This window comes from Homo sapiens, chromosome 1 (genome assembly GCF_000001405.40).
Source record: "Homo sapiens chromosome 1, GRCh38.p14 Primary Assembly".
Taxonomy (NCBI): domain Eukaryota; kingdom Metazoa; phylum Chordata; class Mammalia; order Primates; family Hominidae; genus Homo; species Homo sapiens.
In genome coordinates, this window is record NC_000001.11 from 69,553,836 (window position 1) to 69,572,246 (window position 18,411).

Here is an 18,411-nt window from a genome sequence, read left to right on the forward strand (position 1 = left end):
GTGGAAATAATACACTCCTTGGAAAAAGTAAAAGGAAAATGTAAAATGGAGTCTACCTTCTGGATGCAAAGAAATTCTCATCATCACGTGATAGCAAGGTACCATATATTTGCATCAACTATATGGATTATTGAATAAGTTGTATTATGTGGCTAGGATATTTTTACCTTCTTTCTATTCTCTAAGACACCCAAATATCTAAGCCAGTCACTGCCAAGTTAGGTAGTCTTGCTATTATAATTTATATTTTTTATTGCACTTAAAGTGTTTTGCTCATAGTATGTGCTCATTAAATGGGTCAAACGACATTTTATACAATTAATCACGTATTCAGTAGAAGTAAAACGTGAAAACAGAACTTTAAAAGGCTTAAGTTTTACAATTTTATAGAAATCAGCTAATGTTCTATAATTTAAAGAAAATAGGCATATTATTGAACACAGAAACAACATAATAGTGAAAGCATAAATAAAAAGGAATATTTACTTAAATCATTTTGATGTAGATTACAGTTACAAAGATATTTGAACATACATTATGGCTAATATAAGCAGGCAATTCCATCTTAAATTAAGAAATTTTTAATGTAATAGCTCTTCTACCTTTATAAAGTTTCTATTTCTAGGAAAGTAACCTAATCTATTTAAATTTAATGTTAACATAGCTTGAAGATCTTAAATTAACCAGATGTGTACTTTAGAGAAACAGGAATACATCTAGACATATTTAGATATACACAATCCCTAAAGGTTAAATACCATGGTGAGAGCTTCCTGGTTCTCTTAGATATGCGCTTAACATCGTAAAATAACCTGTTGGATTTTAGAAGATAGTGTCAACATTCTGATCCAGTATCTACTTATGTAATAAAAGTAAATCACTTCCACAGGTTTAATACTGCAAATAAATTGCATTCATAATGATTTTCATATTATCTATTCATTCTCAAAACTTTTCAGATTCTTACTTATTTTTAAGTGCTTTGTATTATATAGAGAAACTACTATAGGGAAAAAGACACTTCATTTTTATTTGAAATCAAATATCAAGCTTAAAACAAAAATGACTGACTGAACTGTATTTAATTTTATTTTCTTATGCAGGAAAAAATATACTAAATAAGTCAAGCTCAGATATACTGGTCTATGGCATTTTCAAGCCGTGAAACTAAAAAAAAATAACTAAAACAATGTTATTGAGTTGAAAATTACACAATGTGAACTCTCAGTGTGTGATAACAAGAATAAGGTTATCAAAAACCTTTTGGCTGTACCTATGTAATGCCGAATTCCTGTATGAATCTTAAAACATTTCTTTAACTCAAGTGGGGTAAGGTTAGTTTATTGATATGGTTTAAATCTTAGAGAATATCAGAGATTCTCAGCTCTGTGAACTTTTCTTGAAAGAAATGAGAAGGAGCTGGACGATGGGATAGTGGGGATATATAATGAGTTGACAAAACTTCAACACGTTTTCCTTTTACTACTATAAGGTATCATGAAACTTAACTAAAAACTGATTTTCTATGGCAAAAAATTTATATCTATATTGATACCTAATTTTCATGTATTTTTTGCCACAGATAGAAAATATGGTGACAACAAAATTTTGACCATTTATAAATAATAAGGTAAGTCCTCTGCATTTCAAGCTTATATAATTCTGTATTTCAAATTTTCATTGTTATAGAGATTAAATAAATGAAATATGTTTGTCTATCAGACAAGGAACAGTTAAATGATGATTGGTACACGGTTTGGTAGTAGGAAAACAGGAATTCTGAACATGAACTAGTTTAACATTTTGGGAAGGAAAGGTACTATCAAATTTTCGTAAATGTATAGTTTTTGTATTGTCAATAATATTTCTAAAAAACATATGCTATAAAAGTGTTACACAAGAATGCAAAGACATATGTACAAAAATATTCATTGCAAAAATTGTTGCAATAGTGAAAAATTTAGGATCCATCTAATAATCATTAATAGGAAAGGGGTAACATGCACGATAGTACATCATGCAATAAGATTCTATGAAGCCTATAGAAAGAAGGGATGATTAGTAAATTGGTACTAAAATAGAAGGATATTTCACAATATATTCAATAAAAAGCAAGTTATAAGGCAGTTATATATAATAAGAATACATTTCTGGGAGATAAAACCACTAATATAACTATGTTTCTATACACTGAATAAATTTAGAGAAGTATTCGATATTAATAACTGCAGTTATTTCAGGTATATGAATTATACAGAGCTTTTATATTTCACAACATAAAATGTCTATATTGCTTTGGATCTTAACAATAAGAATATATTACCTCTATGTTCAGAAAATATAAAAAATATAAAAACTGTCAGAGAAATAATTAGGTAATTTTTGTTCCTTTCTTGAACAATGCTATAATGCTACTAGTTTTTTTATTACGTAATTTCTAGTTTATTGAATTATCTTGTATGTGTTTATCAGAAAGTTTAAAAAGAGCTGAATTTGCTTGGCTTTCAGTTTTTTAGGTCTCAGTGTTAATTGTTAACTGAACAGTCAGAACACCTTTCATGATTCAACTTGTTTATGCATTTTGTGTTTACAATATGAAGAGATTTCAATCAAGTAATTACCATTAATGCTAACCATGAGTGTGCCCTACGATAAAAAGTAACAAATTTTGCATCTAGCTGATGGAAATAACTACTATTTAAAAGAGATTTTTGCTTACACTGAAACCTGAAAATATATTAGGGTCATTAAGAAAACAACCAAAAATATGTTTTTGTTTGTTTCACTTAAAAGCTATTGGTAGTAAAGTTACCATTATGCCTGTGTAACAGCATCACGGTGGCAAGGCTTATTTCCACTGCCATCTCTTAAAATACCATGCTTGACAGAAAGGTAATATACAAAATGCTACTTAACCTAGCTAACTTCAACATTTCTACACCAAAAAAAAAAAATCACCTCAAAAATTGTAATGTAAACAGATGTTCGTCTACTTCCAAAATATGGCAGGCTAAATACCATGAAAATAGCTCTAGGACAAAACACCTGGAAATGCTGGGGAAAAAATAACAAACTACATTTTTTATTGTTTTGTGAACAGTGAACTTCCAAAAAAGAAGGGAAATGTTTGGAGACCAAAATTAAGAGAAGCCACAATGGTAAGAAACATTAAGTTTACAATTCTGCTAAAGGAATTTGTCCATTTTCATAATCTAGAACTTGCCTACAAAGTGGTAGCTGAACAAGATCCTAGACGTCTAACCTAAGAAAGGTGGGAGGTAACTGAGATCTCTACTTAAATGTGAGATCCTTGAAGGGTTACATCTTCACTAAATGGTTTATTTAGAAAATATCTACCCTCTTGAAAATACAGATTATAAGACACTTGTCTGCTTCAATCTTGATTCTAGGTGGGGAAGAAAGTCGTTCTAAGGATTAATAATCACAGGTGTGTCCTTTTCAGCCCTCGGGGTTTGTCTCAGTCATCTGGGAAGTCCACAGCTTAAGTTGAAACAGTTTAGGTAGTTAGCTCCCTGAAGCACCTAGAAGAAACAAATAAAAATCCTCATTGGAAAGAAACAACCAAGGGTTTATGTAATTTCCCCAGATAAAATCTAACCCAAAATCCAAGAAAACATACCAGCATAAGCAAAACTAAGGAGAAAATAAATTAGTACCTCAAATTAGATCCCATGGAATTCAGATAATAAAATTATCAGATACAGCATGAAATATGCTATATACAGCATATACAATTCACTCCTGTATCTGAAGGAGTGAATCAAAAATATAGGGAAGGAACATGATGCTTTCAGAAAAGATTAGAAAAAATTGGCATATAACTTCTTGAAAAAAAATCAAAAAATTTTTTGAGAACTTTTGCATCACTGTTCATCAGGGATATTGACCTGAACTTTTCTTTTTTTGTGTTGTATCTTTGCCAGGTTTTGATATCAGGATGATGCTGGCCTCATAAAATGAGTTAGGGAAGAGTACCTCCTTTTCAATTGTTTGGAATAGTTTCAGAAGAAATGGTACCAGCTCCTCTTTGTACCTCTGGTAGAATTCAGTGTAAATCTGTCTGGTCCTGGGCTTTTTCTGGTTGGTAGGCTATTTATTACTGCCTTAATTTTAGAACTCCTTATTGGTCTATTTAGGGATTCAACTTCTTCCTGGTTCAGATTTTGGGAGGGTGTATAAGAATTTATCAATTACTTGTAGATTTTCTAGTTTGTTTGCATAGAGATGTTTATACTATTATTTCATGGCTGTTTGTAACTCTGTGGAGTCAGTGGTAATATCCCTTTTATCACTTCTGATTGTGTCTATTTGATTTTTCTCTCCTTTCTTCTTTATTAGTCTAGCTAGTGGTCAATTTTACTATTTTTTTTTTTAAACAGCTCCCTCCTGGATTCCTTGATGTCTTGAGGGGTTTTTGTGTGTGTGTGTCTCTATCTCCTTCAGTTTGCTCTGATCTTGGTTATTTCTTGTATTCTGGTAGCTTGGGGTTTGTTTGCTCTTAATTCTCTAGTTCTTTTAATTGTGATGTTAGGATATTGATTTAAGATCTTCTAGCTCTTTGATACGGGCATTTAGTGCTATAAATTTCCCTCTTAAAACTGCTTCAGCTGCGTCCCAGAGATTCAAGTAGGTTTTCTCTTTGTTCTCATTAGTTTCAAAGAACTTCTTGATTTCTACCTTAATTTCATTACTTACCCAGGAGTCATTCAGGAGCAGGTTGTTCCATTACTATGTAGTTCTGTGGTGTTCATATCTTAATCTTGAGTTTTAATTTGATTGTGCTGTGATCTGAGAGACTGTTATTATTTTAGTTTTTTTGCATTTGCTGAGGAGTGTTTTACCTCTAAGTATGTGATCAATTTTAGAGTAAGTGCCATATGGCACTGAGAAGAATGTATATTCTCTTGTTTTGGGGTACAGAGTTCTGTGATATCTATCAGGTCCACGTGATCCAGAGCTGAGTTTAGGTCCTGAATATCTTTGTTAATTTTCTGTCTCAACGATCTGTCTGATATTGACAGTGGGATGTTAAAGCCTTCCACTATTATTGTGTGGGAGTCTAAGTCTCTTTGTAGGTCTCTAAGAATTTGTTTTATAAATCTGGGTACTCCTGTATTGGCTGCATGTATATTTAGGGTAGTTAGCTCTTCTTGTTGAATTGACCCTTTAGCATTATGTAATGCCCTTCTTTGTCTTTTTTGATCTCCGTTGGTTTAAAGTCTGTTTGCCAGATACTAGGATGGCAACCCCTGTTTTTTTCTGTTTTACGTTTGCTTGGTAAATATTCCTCCATCCCTTTATTTTGAGCCTATGTGTGCCTTTGCACATGAGACGGGTCTCTTAAATACTGCACACTGATGGGTCTTGACTCTTTATCCAGCCTGCCATTCTGTATCTTTTAATTGGGGCATTTAGCCCATTAATATTTAAGGTTAATACTGTCATGTGTGAATTTGATCCTGTCATCGTAATGCTAGCTGGTTATTTTGCAGACTTGTTTATGTAGTGACTTCATAGTGTCACTGGTCTGTGAACTTCAGTGTGATTTGTAGAGGCTAGTCATGGCTTTTTATTTCCATATTATGTGTTTCCTTCAGCTGCTCTTGCAAGGCAGGCATGGTAGTAATGAATTCCCTCAGCATTTGCTTGTCTGAAGAGGATTTTATTACTCCTTCGCTTATAAAGCTTAGTTTGGCTGGATATGAAATTCTGGGTGGAAAATCCTTTTCTTTAAGAATTTTGAATATTGGCTTCCACTCTCTTGTGGCTTGTAGGGTTTGTGCTTAGAGGTCTGCTGTTAGTCTGATGGGCTTCTTCTGTAGGTGACCTGGCCTTTCTCTCTGGCTGCCCTTAACATTTTTTCCTTCATTTCAAACTTGGAGAATTTGATGATGATGTATCTTGGGGATGCCCTCTCTCACCACTCCTTTCAACATAGTGGAAGTTCTGGCCAGCACAATCAGGTAAGAAAAAGAAATTAAAAACTTATTTAATGGGAAGATACAAAGTCAAATTGTCATTGTTTGCAATGATATGATTCTATATTTAGAAAACCTCATCATCTCAGCCCAAAAGCTCCTTAAGTTGATAAGCAACTTAAGCAAAGTCTCAGGATGCAAAATCAATGTGCAAAAATCACAAGCACTACTATACACCAAAAACAGGAAAGCAGAGAAACAAATTACAAATGAATTCCCATTCACAATTCCTAAAAAGAGAATTAAATACCTAGAAATACAGCTAACAAGGGAAGTGAAGGACCTCTTGAAGGAGAACTACAAACCACTGCTCCAAGAAATCAGAGTAGACACAAACAAATGGAAAAACATTCCATTTTCATGGATAGGAAGAATCAATATTGTAAAAATGGCCATGCTGCCCAGAGCAATTTATAGATTCAATGCTATTCCCATTAAACTACCATTGACATTCTTCATATAATTTAAAATAAAACTATTTTAAAATTCACATGAAACCAAAAAAGAGCCCAAATAGCCAGGACAATCGTAAGTAAAAATAACACAGCTGGAGACATCACACTACCTGACTTCAAACTATACTACAAGGCTACAGTGACCAAAAGAGCATGGTACTGGTACAAAAACAGACACATAGACCAATGTAACAGAAGAGAGAAATCAGAAGTAAGACTACACGTCTACAACCATCTGATCTTTGACCAACCTGACAAAAACAAGCAATGGGCAAAGGATTCCCTATTTAATAAATGGTGCTGGGAGAACTGGCTAGCTATATGCAGAAAATTGAAACTGGACCCCTTCCTTACACCTTATAAAAAATTAACTCAAGATGTATTAAAAACTTAAATGTAAAACCCACAACTATAACAATCCTAGAGGAAAATCTTGGCAATGCCATTCAGGATATAGGCATGGGCAAAGATTTCATGATGAAAACACCAAAAGAAATAGCAATAAAAACAAAAATTGATAAATGGGATCTAATTAAACTAAAGAGCTTCTGCACAGCAAAAGAAACTATTATCAGAGTGAACAGACAACATGCAGAATGAGAGATTTTTTTTGGCAATCTATCTATCTGACAAAGGGCTAATATCCAGAATCTACAAGGAACTTAAATTTACAAGAAAAAAGCATACAACCCCATTAAAAATTGGGCAAAGAACATGAACAGATACATCTCAAAAGAAGACATTCATGCAGCCAACAAACATATGAAAAAAAGTTCAACATCCCTTATCATTAGAGAAAGGCAAATCAAAACCACAGTAAGATAACATCTCAGTCAGAATGGCGATTATCAAAGTCAAGAAACAACAGATGCTATTGAAGTTGCAGAGAAATAGGAATGCTTTTACACTATTGGTGAGAATGTAAATTCGTTCAACCATTATGGAAGACAGTGTAGTGATTCTTCAAAGATTGAGAACCAGAAATACCATTTGACACATCCATCCCATTACTGGGTATATACCCAAGGGAATATAAATCATTCTATTATAAAGATACATGCAGGCCAGGTGTGGTGGCTCACACATGTTACCCCAGCACTTTGGGAGGCCGAAGTGGGCGGATCATGAAGTCAGGAGTTCAAGGCCACCCTGACCAATATGGTGAAACCCCGTCTCTACTAAAAATACAAAAATCAGCTTGGTGTGGTGATGCATGCCTGTAGTCCCAGCTACTCGGGAGGCTGAGGCAGGAGAATCACTTGAACCCAGGAGGCAGAGGTTGCAGTGAGCCAAGATTGCACCACTGCACCCTAGCCTGGGCAACAGAGTGAGTTTCCATCTCAAAAAAAAAAATAATAGGCCGGGCGCGGTGGCTCACGCCTGTAATCCCAGCACTTTGGGAGGCCGAGGCGGGTGGATCATGAGGTCAGGAGATCGAGACCATCCTGGCTAACAAGGTGAAACCCCGTCTCTACTAAAAATACAAAAAATTAGCCGGGCGCGGTGGCGGGCGCCTGTAGTCCCAGCTACTGGGGAGGCTGAGGCAGGAGAATGGCGTTGAACCCGGGAAGCGGAGCTTGCAGTGAGCCGAGATTGCGCCACTGCAGTCCGCAGTCCAGCCTGGGCGACAGAGCGAGACTCCGTCTCAAAAAAAAAAAAAAAAAAAAAAAAAAAAAAAAAAAAAAAAAAAAAAATAATAATAATAATAATAATAATAATACACGCACACTTATGTTCATTGCAGTACTATTCATAATAGTGAAGCATGAAATCAACCCAAGTGCCCATCAATGATAGACTAGATAAAGAAAATGTGGTACATATACACATGGAAAACTATGCAGCCATAAAAAGGAACAAGATCATGTTCTTTGCTGGGACATGGATGGAGCTGGAAGCCATTATTCAGCAAACTAACACAGGAACAGAAAATCAAACACCACATGTTCTCACTTTTAAGTGGGAGCTGAATTATGAGAACACATGGACACAGGAAGGTGAACACACCCACAGGGGCCTGTCAGGGGCAGCAGGGCACCATGGCTGGTGCATGCTGGGCTTAATACTTGGGTGGTGGGTTGATAGGTGCAGCAAACCACTGTGGCAACCATTTACCTATGTACATCCTGCACATGTGTCCTGGAAGTTAAAATTTAAAAAAATTAAGAGCATGCAATTTCTTAATATAATAACACAATTTTAGAATTAGGAAAACTTTTGCTTGCTTTAACTACATAATATCCATTTTAGAATGAAAAAAAAGCATTTAAAATTTTTGTATACCTATAAAACCACCTAGAGATGGCAGAGACTTTTTCAGAATGTTTGTATACGGTAATGTGTTGGTGAAGTTATCTACATTGTTTTTAAAGATATATTTCATTCTTGACTAGCCTTTTTACTCAGTTTTTATCTAAGGTAAACTTTCTGTTGGAGTACTGGCATGATAAATTTAGTCTGAATTTCTTGTGAGACAGAATTGCTAATTTGTTATAACACTACACAGAACAAGGTCTTGTGAAATAGCAATCTGTTTTTAAAAGACTTGTGGTGTGAGAAAAATTTTAAAAACTATTATGAATTTGCATCATGCTTAAAAATTAATAGTACAAAAAGAAAGGATGAAGAATAGTCAAACATTTTGAAGAACAAGATGAGGCTCCTTGTTCTCCCTAGATATCAGTGCTGATTATAAAGCTTGAGTAATCAGGACAGTTTTTTCAGTTTTCAACTTGCATAGAATAGAAAGAACAAATTGCCCATCCCCAAAAATAAACCAATGAACTGATACATGATATGCTATGCAGTAATGCAAGCATTCATTCCATGGGGAGGAAAGTAGAAAAGTAAAATGAATCCCTACCTCACACCATACAAATAATCAATTTCAGATGATTTAAAGTCTAAAAGGTAAAACATTAAAATTGTAAGCCTTTTAGAATACAACATAGAAAAATACATTCATAACCTGGGAGGGGGGGGTAATAAAGGTTTTCTTAAGCTAGATATAAAGCATATTCCATAAAGGAAAGTATTGATAAAGTTATCAATTATAGCTTATTTTTATAAAAATACACCACCATATGAAGATTGAAAGTCAAAGAAGTGATACAACTGACAGAGGATTAAAATCTAGGCTACACACACAGACATAGATATACAAATCAAGAAAACCCAATGAAAATTAGTGAAATATATAAATAAGCAATTCATATTGAAAATGGGAATGGTAAACCTATTAAAAGCTGCTCAACCTCATAAGTAAGAAAGGAAATGTGAATGTAAACCTTAATAAAGTACCTTTTTACACCCCTTAGGCTGGACAACATGAAAATGTCTGATAATACCAAGTATTGCCAGAGTGTGGACCAAGAAAAACTCTTACAAATACTAATAAAACTGTAAACCATGTGAAAAACAATTTAATATTGACTGTATCATACCCTGAAACAGAAATCCACTCCTAGGTGATACATTAACTAGAAAAATTTTTATGCACATTCATAAAGAGATATAAACAAACATGTTCCCAACAGTATTACTTATAATAGTAAAAACTGTCATCAGAATGTGAATGTGGTGAGTTTATACAATTAACTATTATGCAGCATCAAAAATCAGTCAACCAGAGTGACACATATGAATATGAATCATTATTATTTACATAATGTTGATATTTTAAAAATCAAAAGCAATTTGCAAAAGAATGCATACTGTATTATATCATTTATATAAGGGTTACCTATGCTAAGCGATACAAAAATATTGTTAGTACTCAAAGTGCACAAAATGTATGAATGTATAAATGTACAAATAAATACAAAATTTAGAAATGAGGTTATCTTTTGTGTGTGGGGGAATGGGGTGGACAGAGAGAGGAATGGGAGAGGAGGCTTCAGTCATATCCATAATGCTTTCTTAATGGGCATAATGGGTATATCAGTGGTCACTGTATTTTTTCATCTTAGGCAAATTAATGTTTACAAAATAATTATTCAAATGAATTAAAATCCACAATAAAGAAGCATTTTCTTTAGCTAGAACAGATTGTTAATTTGAGAGGCCAATTTCATAGTAAAAGCCCTCTAACAAATTCATTTGAAGAAAAATCTTAATGACCTACCTCCATTTTCTATTCAGAACCTCAGCCTGGTTTTTCAAAAACTAACCACAACAAAGCATCACTGTCCACCCTTACAGTACCCCACTCATACTGATCCTGTCTTACTAAGGTCTACTGTCTCTGAGGTTTTCAGACCTTCATCTTCATGCATCAAAATTCAGTAATGTTTTCTATTTCCCTAATTACCAGTATCTAATTAAGCCAATCCTGTTAAGATACTAACAACTCAAAAACTAAAAGTGTTATCCTGTCTATATGTACTTTTATTTTAATGAGTAATTGCCAAAGGGGATATCTTTTACGACAAGTGTAGCATTTCAGGCATCCAAAGGGAAATATTCAAAGATATTTGACATCTTATTGTTTAATATCGCCATGAGTTTTATTTTCAAATAAGGTTAGTCTTGCTTATCCTAAGAAGCATTATCATTTCAAAGATTTTAGCAGTGTGGGTCAAAGAAATTGATTAACAACTTGCAAAATTTTATAGCCTTAATGTCTAAACATTTATAGATGTAATAGGAACATCAAATCTGTTAAAACTGCCTTGATCTAATTTGTAAAATGGTGATAGTTTTTAGTGTTGGGCCTCTGCTTGAACAACATCCAAAGTATATTTAGCATTTATCTTTCTCCAATTTTTAGACAGTCATCTGCATTTCCAGAGGGTTGATGACAGGGCAGCTTGAAGTTTAAAGACAGCACCTGCATTTGCATTTCAATAGTTCCATAATTCTATGAAACCACTGAAATCTCTTCAATGTCTCATTGTTTAAATAGTAAAGGTGGCCAGATTTTGTTCAAGATTCATAATCTTACAAAAATATGGAGCCGTTGTATTCAAAGCTTATTCTAAAGAGAATACCTTCTCTTTACACCTTATAATCCTGTTTGTTAAAACCCATAACAATTAGGTGGACATCTGAACATATTTAAAGTATTTTATCCATTGGATTTTTATGGTCCAAAATCAAGATTCTAGGACAAGATAAATGGGAAAGGAGGACATGTAGTTTGAAATGTGTTATATCAGCACCATCAATTTTTAATTCGGGGTTCCAAAATTATCTTTTTCTCCATTGGAAAGGAATACGTTTGTTTCCACGTAGGAAACTACTTCCACTTAACACACAGAAGGTAACTTCATTGGTAGGTATGCTGCCTGTATGCAAGGATCTGCAGTTACTCATAACTGGCTGTGTTTTTAAACAGAATAATTTTTGTCAAATATTTTGATACAAAACAATGAAGCCTGAAGTTAAAATAAGAAATTCTGGGCTCAAGTGCAGGGCAACTGGACACCCTTATGAGATGAGCCTTTGTGCCCTTCCTGTAAGTGTGGATTAGATTATCCACCACCTAGATTTAAGAAAGGATTAAATGAAAGAATATATGTGAAAGTACTGTGTTGACTGTATTAAAAAGAACTGGAAACCCATAAAGGACCGCTATAATTGTGTAATTGTTGCGCCAGGTTATTTTGTCAATACATTTTTAATCAGCACCTAAAATATTTCATGTCACTTCATCCAGCAGAGACATTGAGATGTGGCAAAATGTTTAAAAGGACAACACTATAGGTGAAAAAAAAACAGAGCACAACAGTAGTCAATTCAAAAAAAATTCTTTTAACAATTTTATTCCATTTCCTTGCCATTTTCAGAGCCCTTTCTTTTGGTGTTTTGTAACAATATAAAAAACGATCTGGCTTTTCAAAATATACTCCTTTTCCTTTCTATATGCAAATGATATGAAACACTGGCAAGTTGTCCTTAAAAGTCAGCCCACCTTCATGGCCCAGATAAAGTGGGCAATAATTCCTCTCTAGGTCCTCCGCACATTAGGTGCCAGTCTCTCAAGTCTCTTCCTAGACAATTTCTAGCAGCCAGGAAACATAATTTTTGACCTTGAAGACTTTAGCATTCCAAATCTAAGAATACAATCAGGTGTGTTTTCTTTTGGCAAACTGTGAGCTTACACACACCCCCAGAGTGGCATTTGAATGCTGTGCACAGTCTTGACTGTGTTCGAGGTTAGAGAACTAAAGACAAGATTCTTTCTCTCTTGTAATGAAGAAACAAAAACCACATAGCCTATATTCCACAAAAGAATACCAGCATAATATATCCTTTTTTAAAGATGTAATTCATTAGATGTGTGTAGAGAATAAAAGTGTAAATATAGGCTGGGAACGGTGGCTCACGTCTATAATCCCAGCATTTTGGGAGGCCGAGACAGGTGGATCACCTGAGGTCAGGAATTCGAGACCAGCCTGGGCAACATGGTGAAACCCCCGTCTCTACTAAAAATACAAAAAAAATCATCCGGGCGTGGTGGCACGCGCCTGTAATCCCAGCTACTCGGGAGGCTGAGGCAGGAAGATCGCTTGAACCGGGGAGGAAGAGGTTGCAGTGAGCCGAGATCGCGCCATTGTACTCCAGCCTGGTCAACAAGAGCGAAACTCCGTTTCAAAAAAAAAAAAAAAAAGTGTAAATATAGTACTAGCTTCATTGATATGTCTTGCTGCTTCTGGGACTTTAGAGAAGCGTATAAGAAGAAAGTGTGTGTGCCTTTACGTAAGGGAGCATATGAGAGAGAGAGAGAGAGTGTGTGTGTGTGTGTGTGTGTGTGTGTGTGTGTGTGTGTGTGTCAGAGAGAATGTTCATGGCAGGAGGAGGGGCGGTGAATATATGAAGGGAAGTTGGGAAAACCCTTCCCTTTTTGTGCACTCCCAGGGCAGCAGCCGCAACCCCAGAATGAGGAGAGGACTTAAGAGCAGGCACAAGGTTCGCTGCCATGACTGATGTGAAGCGACCTGACGCACAAGCGGAGACTTTTCTCCTTGGCAGCCAACAACCTGCAGCAGGCAAGGCGGGCGGGGGAGGAAACCCCGAGGAGGCGCTCCCGGCCGCCTCTTTGCTGAGATAGCAGGAGCAGCAGCCTGAGGAGCCACGAGCTCAGCGTCACTGAGCTAGTGCGGGTGCAGGGGCGCTCAGGCAGGCGCACAGGCCGGGAGCCGCTTCTGCCGCTCAGGCGGCCGCGCTGCAGAAAGCCGCGCCGCGCTGCCCGAGCGCCCGGGGCTGGCCCGCGAGCGGGAGGAGCCGGCAGCCGCGCTCCGCCCCGCGCTGAGATTCGTGCCACCTGCCTCGAACACCACGGAGGCGAGAGGAACCCAGAGAGCTCGGCCTCTCGTCCCGTTCTCGAAAAGCAGCCTATCGTGACGGAGCCGGGAGAAGGCTAGCGTTTCAATCCTGTGCAGGACTGGGATTTTTCTTCTCATAATTTGGGGGAGCCGGAGTAGAGGTCAGAGGGACAGGCGAGGATCTCAAAAAGAGACCGAGGGTTGTGAACATGGTTACCCCCTCCTATCATTGGAAAATCTCCTTGACATTTTTCACACTTTGAAGCAGCTGCAGCTGGTGTCGTCGGAAAAGGGGGTGGGAAAAAAGAGAGGGGGCGGGGAGAGCGGTGAGACACAGCCAAGAGCCATGAGCGGCGCCTCCTCGCCTGCCAATCCTGGCACCTGTGCGCCGAGCCACTGCACCGAGGAGGACCCTACTCCGGGTGAACACCGGGCTTGAAGCCACGGACACCCAGCCCCAGTGCAGCGGGTTCTCGCCGGCGGGACCTGCAGCCGCCCACTCGGGCCACCGCCACCGCCTCCTGCAGTTGCGGAGCGCTCAGCCCCTCCGAGACGCCCGCTGCGCCCTGGCCCCTGGGGATCCTCGCCCTGCACAGGCGCGGCAACGGGCAGGGGTTGTTACGGAGTTGGGTGCAGGATTCGCCTTTCCTGCTTGTCTCTTCTCCGCCCAGGATTTATTGTCTGTGGAGCCTTCTGGGGGCGGGGAGGGAGCTGCGCCTCCGCCACCGCCGCCGCCGCCGCCGCTGCTGCTGCGGTCGCTAGCGCGGCGCGCTGGGCAGGCTGAGGCTGGGGAGTGGACGCGCTCCTGCCTCCCCCGCCGGCGCTTCGGGCTTCCCCTCAGCCGCTTCCCGCGGGAACCTCTCCAGCCGTCCACCTGAAGGGCACTGGCATCATGGTCTAACGTGGCACCTTCCTGGATTCCCCTCTATCTCCTGTTCTTCCTACCTTCTACTCCTTCCCTCCTCTTCTCCTCCGAAGACCCTGGCGCCCACTCCACTGCGGACCCCTGAACACTTAAGGAATAACCCTTGGCAGCTGCACGACTACGCTCTCCGAAACCTCATGGGCAGTTTCTCCCGCCGGCGATGTGAGTAAGGCACGCTCGCTCCGTGGCGGAGGGTGCTGCGGGGGCCCGGCCGCGGCGACCGTAGGCGCGCGAGGTGTGGGACCCCAGAGGCCGGCCGGGGGCGGGGGTGGCAGGGCGGGAGGCTTCGGCGCTCGCGGGGAGCTGCTTGTGCGGTGGCCGAGGGAGGCGGCGAAGATGTGGTAGGTTGCAGAGCATTTGGAAATGGGGTGCTAACTGGGCGGGTGCATGGGAGCACCGAGTAGCTTGAGCTGGCAAGAGACCTTAAAGGGTTACATACTGCGAAAAGGAAAGGTAAATGTTGGGCGCTGGTGCTGGGACCATTGGTTCCGCTGAAATTAGGTTTAGCTCCTCGTTATTATCTTGGGTATCTCCAGTCAGCTTTTTTCCCAGAGGTGTCTGAGGGATGAAGCGCGTGTTTGATCGTGACACACACACACACACACTCACACACACTTGTGGCAGGACGCACTTGTCTCTTTATCTTGGAAGGTGTTGTATCAATGTCTCGATGTCTGTTTGAAAAAATACAATTAGAAGATTTTTATGTGATTGGGATTGAAGGGAAAGGGTGGGGTTTGGGGGGATGGAGGGGACGAAGGAACATGAAAGACTGGAGGACGGAAAGAAGTGGGGGAGCGTGTTCCCTGGGAGTCAGGGAGAACCTTGCCTCCCTCCCTGTCAGCTAGACAACTCCTGCCCACACATCTCCTTTGTGTGGCACGAGAAGCTGGTGAACCTGCCTATTCCCAATCCAGCGCTGGGTCCCCTTGAGGATCTTGCGTCCTCCTCTCCGAGTTATTAAGGATGCAGGACGTGTTTCGGATTCGACGTGGAAAGAGGGAGGGAAGCACATTAGCATTAAGGTAATCATGGCACCCTGGCTCGTGGACTATTAGATTGGCTACCAGTGGTCTCTAATCTTACTGTTTGCAGAGTCAAGAATGGGGGCGGGGGTTGGGGGACTGTATAGATTGCCTTTTAAAATAGTGTGACTTCATAATAACGGAGATGGCTGAAAGATTGCTTCCTTACACTACTTCTCGGCCATCAGGGCTGAATAAAGGACCCGCCTCCGCCCTCTACTCCGGCTCTTCTCTGGCTGTCTCTTCCCCATCAAGTCATAAAGCGAGCGGGTTGGGCGAGAGGGCACAGCTCGAGGCAGAGAAGAGACGGGGTCACTTTCACAACTCCCAGGAATCGGCTTCAGAAAGGAACCATCTGCGACTCCCACGTTCCTTTCGAAGTTCTCCTTCAAAAGGAATTACAAAAAAAAAAAAAAAAAAAAAAGCGATGGGGGTGGGGATCGGTAAGACACAGGGGTCCTCCCCCTGCTCTTTTCAATTACTTTCCCAATACTCTTTCAACACATCGAATTTACCTGCAGTGGTAACTGGGTCAGCAGGTAAATAGATTTGTATCTGTATATGTCGAAATGTGGCTCTCCTGGTGGATGAAAAGCAATTTTTTGTGAGCATATTCTAACCTAGGCGAAATTTCTAAGCACAATAGAGATTTTTATAGCGTGGGCGAGAAGAGTGCATTCCAGCGAAAGCAGGACACGTGATCCCTCCAACGGGTGAGATACAGTATTAGGAACTCGATTTTCTTTGTTCCAGCCTGAGCCTATGAGATGTTCAGCATCCTGGTTGCTTAAGTCCTCCTATAGAAGGAAAATAATAATAATAATAATAATAAAGTTGATCGGAGGCGAAATAGAGGGAAAATAAGCACAGGTAGACATGCGTGAACGGTTTGAAAGCTTCGCCTCTGCCTTTTTTTACCGCCCACCCTTCACCCCCACCCCTTGCTCCAGCCAGCCCCCTATTTTAAAATGAGGCATTTCCTCTGGGAGACGGTGGAAAAGTTCTCCAGCCCCTGCACACGTGGGTTCTCCAGCACTTCAGAACCTGCTGTGATTCGCAACAGATTACACCACCTTCCCAGTCCAAGTGTCACGCCTCCGTCCAGGCTTCCTTGAATTGGCTTCCAGGAAGGACTCTAAGGGAACTACCACGAGGTGTTTTTTGTTTGTTTGTTGTTTTTTGTTTGTTTGTTTTTACAAAAGACAGTAAAGCAATGAAGTCTTTACTTTTTAGAAATCATTGATTGCACAGGGGGAAAAATGAGCAAATAGGGATGTAGGAATGATTTTATGTTTCCTTAAGAGTCATATGGCTAAAGTATATTGGGGGTGTGTTTAGTGATTGAGTTTGGACTTCTGAGGTGTCTCAGGCCTGTGGAAAATGTCCTGAGGTCAGAATATTTATTAATTTAGTGGAGATATAACTTGTTTATGACCCAACATTTAGAGTTACCTGACTTGGAGATTTCTTATTTCATTTTCACTTAATGTTTTATAATCCATCTTAGTAGGCTAAAGTTTTTAAAAGGTGGTTTATTTATGTGTTATGCTGCATTGCATCATACTAATATGTAATGATAAGAAAAACAGTCAATTTTCATGACTTATTATGAGGTGAGAGTTCTTTATACATTTTTAAGAAAAAACTGACTATCCAAGAAAAAATGTGTACTTACCATGGCCAACACATAAATTCTACATCACTTGTGTCTGCACATATGCAGCTTAGAATTAGAAACAACTTCATAAAGAAACCTGGTCCAGTTGCAGTAGCCATGTTTTATTCAGAATTTTAGTGCAGCTTTAGGCTGTCATTAACATTTTCCCAATTAAATTCTTATTCCACTTTCTTTTTTAAGCTTTTAATTTTTCTAATTCCCTTATAAAATACAGAACATAAGCTTAAAGTGTTTTTGTGCATCTGCATTTTTGTTTTCTTTGGATTTCAAAAAATCACGAAGATATAAATTAATATGAATGTTATTGCTTATGAAAGTAATAAACTATATTATCTATATGATGTTCATTCCAGTGGTACTTGTAGATCTCTCTTATTTCAGCATATAGTACATGATTAAATATTTGATACAAAAACTTGGTCTTGTTAATCACAACTTTAAAACATTCACTTTTTAGAACAGATAAAATATTGATGTTAGGTTTTAATTGATGTATCAAAATTACACTTAGAGATACTAAAATTTTATTTGCTGAATGACTGTGGCCCCAATATAAGAAGGAATCACACATTCCACGAGATTATAACTTCATTGCTTACTCAGATTAACCGACTACACGAAGAGTAACCAATTATTGATGAATTATCATCTGAATTATTTATGGATTCTTATTACATTTTCTTTCTTCACACAAATTATTTCATAGTTTTTTGAAAAAATTATTTCAAACATATATGCTGTTGAACACAGTAGTTATAATAGCCACACTACCACTGAAAGACATTATTTGGTGTATTTTGTTGTCTCTAATAACAGTGACTACTTTGCAGAGTATCATCCACATTCTTTTTTGGAGCCATGTAAATTTGCAAGATGACTTTAGGGGAATGTTAATTCAAATCTGTGACATATAACAGACTTTTAGTTTATGACAAGCCGAGTTACCATTAACTAATTTTTATTGCCACGGAAAGATATCATTGGAGATGACTCTAGGCTCTTTGGAGAATGTTGAAGTTTTCACTCTGAATTTCTTTAATTTAGCAGTCAACATCAGTCTTCAA

General features: G+C 38.6%; 1 protein-coding gene and 1 long non-coding RNA gene across 14 annotated transcripts in view, besides 1 other annotated feature; both read left to right on the forward strand.

The window, feature by feature from the left end:
• The window catches only part of LOC105378789 (uncharacterized), a 112,950-nt gene extending 100,935 nt beyond the window's left edge, over positions 1 to 12,015 (forward strand). For 3 of the 4 annotated variants that reach the window (XR_001738106.2, XR_947488.3, XR_007066165.1), the window contains exons 8-12: positions 1 to 98; positions 1,583 to 1,630; positions 3,101 to 3,158; positions 3,945 to 5,984; positions 9,772 to 12,015. The exon at positions 1 to 98 is cut by the window's left edge and continues 528 nt beyond it. This is a non-coding gene — a long non-coding RNA (uncharacterized LOC105378789). The remainder of the gene's footprint in view (positions 99 to 1,582; positions 1,631 to 3,100; positions 3,159 to 3,944; positions 5,985 to 9,771) is intronic. The other variant, XR_007066166.1, reaches the window with a different exon arrangement.
• Positions 13,511 to 13,740: a silencer, noted in NCBI's record as "silent region_987". NCBI's record gives its function as "represses an Ori minimal core promoter by ATAC-STARR-seq in GM12878 lymphoblastoid cells {active_cell/tissue: GM12878}" and the evidence as "EXISTENCE:reporter gene assay evidence [ECO:0000049][PMID:35858748]".
• Positions 14,087 to 18,411, forward strand: part of LRRC7 (leucine rich repeat containing 7) — a 576,443-nt gene continuing 572,118 nt past the window's right edge. For 6 of the 10 annotated variants that reach the window (NM_001330635.3, NM_001366839.3, NM_001370785.2 and 3 more), the window contains exon 1: positions 14,087 to 14,806. Coding sequence is in view for 6 of the 10 variants with exons in the window: in NM_001370785.2 (NP_001357714.1) it covers positions 14,805 to 14,806 (2 nt within the window). In the remaining 4 variants the exon portion in view is untranslated. Of the gene's footprint in view, positions 14,807 to 14,917; positions 14,986 to 15,505; positions 15,670 to 18,411 lie in introns of those variants that run through there. The other 4 variants (NM_001366841.1, NM_001350216.3, NM_001366840.1 and 1 more) reach the window with 2 other exon arrangements.